Here is a 3971-nt window from a genome sequence, read left to right on the forward strand (position 1 = left end):
GTGCCTGTCTATGCTGAAGGCAGATCTTTCCCACTGTCTGCAGACTCACACACGAGTCTCGTCTGAAAAAACCCTCACAGACACACCTGGGGCAGCCCAATCATTCTAGTCAAATGCCAAACCATCTGCTTTCTCTTTCAGCAGAAGAGCTCACTGAAGCATTGAGGGTGATTAATGCAATGATTCAGAGTAAATAATGCTTTACCAGCTATCTGGGTATCCCTTAATTAAGTCGACACCCCAAATCACCCATCACTGTGTGTGTGTGTGTGTGTGTGTGTGTGTGTGTGTGTGTGTGGTGTTAGCATGGTGCTTGGCTCATTGTTGCTAAAATTTAATAAATTATTGATTAAACTATATAATTTGCAAGGATGGCACACTCACTTTGGTGCTAAAATATTTTTGCTACTAATCAATAGAAATTGACATGTTAACTTTTTCTTAATGAAACAGGTATCACCTCATCCTCATAGTAGTTATGGTGGAACAAAATTGTCCTTCTTAAACCAGTAACTTGCTTCTTAAATAAATATGTTGCAGTTGATTAGGCTTTGTTAGGGTTTAAAATATTTAAGTGGCAAACAATGCAATAATAGTTTCTTGAATTATCTTTAAATGTATTTTTTTGTAGGAGATTTAATTTAAATGTATTTTGGTAGGAGATTTCACATTTTATTTAACATTTTCCCAAGTACTTTTATATGCTGTATCTCACTTGATCTTCCTAATGAGTAGGAAAGGTAAATATTATTAGTCTAGTTTCAGACTTAAGGAAACTGGAGCTTCAGAGGGATTGACTGTCTAGTCACATGACATAGAGCTGTCCACACCTGATACATACTGCAAGCCAGATTTTCTGACCCAAGTCATGTACTCATTCCTTCTCACACTGCCTCTCCTTGTTGTAGTTATCAATGACTGGATTCAAAACTAAGAAACTTAAGTATTAGGTTGGTGCAAAAGTAACTGCAGTTTGGACCATGAATTTTAAATCGTTATAACTAGGCTCAAACACATCTTTATTTATCAAAATAGGAACCATTACAATCAACACATTTTTGCCAATGAAAAATAAGTTTATTCATGTAGCTTAAAAATCCATGCTTCAGGATTTGACAAACTCTTGGAAAGCATTTTCTGCATCCTGTTGCTTGTGGAAGCATTTTGCCTACAAAAAGTTGTTGAGATGCTTGAAGAAGTGGTAGTCGGTTGGCAAGAGGTCAGGTGAATATGGTGGATGAGGCAAAACTTCTTAGTCCAATTCACTCAACTTTTGAAGCGTTGGTTGTGGGACATGCAGTCACGTGTTGTCGTGAAGAATTGGGCCCTTTCTGTAGACCAATGCGGGCTGCAGGCATTGCAGTTTTTGGTGCGTCTCATTGATTTGCTGAGTATACTTCTCAGATGTAATGTTTTCACTGGGATTCAGAAAGCTGTAGTGGATCAGACGGGCAGCAGACCACCAAACAGCGACCGTTTTTTGGTGCAAGTTTGGCTTTGGGAAGTGCTTTGAAGCTTCTTCTGGGTCAACCACTGATCTGGTCATTGCCAGTTGTCATATACAACCCACTTTTCATCGCATGTCACAATCCAGTGGAGAAATGGTTTGTTGTTGTTGCATAGAATAAGAAAACGACACTTCAAAATGATGATTTTTAAAAATTTTTGGTCAGCTCATGAGGCACCCACTTATTGAACTTTGTCACCTTTCCAGTTTGCTTCAGATGGCAAACAACTGTAGAATGGCTGACATTGAGTTCTTCGGCAACTTCTTGTGTAGTTGTAAGAGGATCAGCTTCGATGAGTACTCTCAATTTGTTGTCAACTTCCGATGACTGGCCACTACGCTCCTCACCTTCAAGGTTCTCCTCTCTTTTGCAAAACTTCTTGAACCACCACTGCACTACATTCATTAGCAGTTCCTGGGCCAAATGCATTGTCAATGTTGCAAACACCGCTGCTTTACCACCCATTTTGTACTTGAATAAGAAAATTGCTTGAACTTGTTTTTTGTCCAACATCACTTTCATAGTCTAAAATAAACATAAAATAAACAATGAGTAATAAGTCATTAGCAAAAAACCTAAAGTGACAAATGCCCATTAAAATGATGTGTAACATAACCACATTCATTTAAGAATGTATTCCTATATCAAATGGCAAATGCCAACAATGCAGAAACCGCAATTACTTTTGCACTCACCTAATATATTTAAGCACATGCCCCCGAATTTTGATGAGCTCTCTTAGTTATAAGGGAAAAGCTTCTTAAATACTGTGCATTCTTTGCTATGCAATATTTAACTATACATTTCTGAGTATTGCTATGGATACATTTTTTCTGTGTGAAAATTAATTTCTAGGGTATGTATCCTCAGTTACCATAGGTAGAATTTGAAAATACTTTCTGAAACATTTAAAAAATATCAAATTATTGTCACTTTTACTACTGTATTTTATTATAGCCTAATTCTTAAATCTTATAAATTACATATGGCATATATTTTTTATTAAACTTACTGACAAATAAACAAAAGCTTTTGAAGATTTTGAAAAATCCATGAGATGTTTCTGAAGGCCTCTAGCAAAGAAAACATTTGAAAGGTGGAAGCACTAAAAGATCACACATAAAAAAAAAATTGATTGCTGCCAGGAGTACCATCTCTCAGTAGGTGGGCTTTTCTTAGAAACTCTCTTTTTCTCTTCATTCAAAACAAGGTCACGAAGATGTGTCTTCTTTTCAATGTAGTGAGACAGATCAGCAAATTAAAAAAAGAAAACCTGACTGTGGGAATATGGAAGACTATGGGACTGTGGGAGAATGTCATGATCCATGCGAGCCCACTGCTGGTCCTGAGGTGGGTTGGGTCAGTATGTGGTTACTGAGCAGTATGTTGGGTCAGTATGTGATCACCGAGCTGTGTGACTATATTTGTTTCCTAGGGAGCTGGGTGGCTTAAAACAACAGAACTTCTTTGTCTTCCAGTTCCAGAGGCCAGAAGTCCCAAATTAAGGTGTTGGCAGAGCCACGGTCTCTCTGAAGACTTTAGCAGGTGATCCTTCCTTGCTTCTTCCTAGCTTCTAGTGGCTCATGGCAGCCCTTGGTGTCACTTCATTTATACATGCTTCATTCCCATTTCTGCCTCTGTCTTCACATGGCATTCTCTTCTGTGTGTCTGCATCCAGATTTCCCTTTTCTTATAAGAACCCCAGTCATTGCATTAGGGTATATCCTAATCCAGCATGGCTTCATTTTAACTTGATAATATTTGCAAATACCTTTTTTCTAAATAAGGTACCCAGGGTTAGGACTTTAACATATCTTTTTTGGGGATAGAATTCAATCCACAACATTGACAGAGCAGAAAGAAAAATGTGGCCAGTTCTATTCCCCATGCTGCCAAGTGACCATAGGTGAACCCCCTGGAATCCTGGATACTCAAAATGTGTTCTCCAGACCAGCACTGTAGTATCAAACATTACCTGAGCCTTAATTCAATATACAGTAGTTCAAGCCCCATTCCAGGTGTACTGAATCAGAACCTGTATGTTAACAAGATCCCCAGGTGATTTGTATCCACATCAAAGTGGGCTGAGCACTGCCTAAGAGCAGTGGTTCTCAAAGTGTGGGTTTCACCTGTGATAAAAGAAAAACTTCAGCTGAATTAAATTTAAAGGAGTTTAATTGAGCAATGAACTATTCGTGAATCGGGCAGCCCCCAGAATCACAGCAGATTCGCGGAGACTCCAGTGCAGCCATGTGGTGGAAGAAGACTTACAGACAAAAAAAAGGGAATTGACATACAGAAATTGGCAGTGAGGTACAGAAATAGCTGGATTGGTTACAGGGTGGTGTTTGCCTTATTTGAACACAGTTTGAACACTTAGCAGTCTATGAGTGGTTGAAGTATGGCCACTGGGATTGGCCAGGACTGTTATTGTTATAGGCGCAATGAAAAACTTTTTCATTT

General features: G+C 38.7%; 1 annotated feature.

Annotated features, from left to right (window-relative positions):
• Window positions 1-50: a silencer, noted in NCBI's record as "silent region_19805". NCBI's record gives its function as "represses an Ori minimal core promoter by ATAC-STARR-seq in GM12878 lymphoblastoid cells {active_cell/tissue: GM12878}" and the evidence as "EXISTENCE:reporter gene assay evidence [ECO:0000049][PMID:35858748]".

Source organism: Homo sapiens, chromosome 9, assembly GCF_000001405.40.
Source record: "Homo sapiens chromosome 9, GRCh38.p14 Primary Assembly".
NCBI classification, from domain to species: domain Eukaryota; kingdom Metazoa; phylum Chordata; class Mammalia; order Primates; family Hominidae; genus Homo; species Homo sapiens.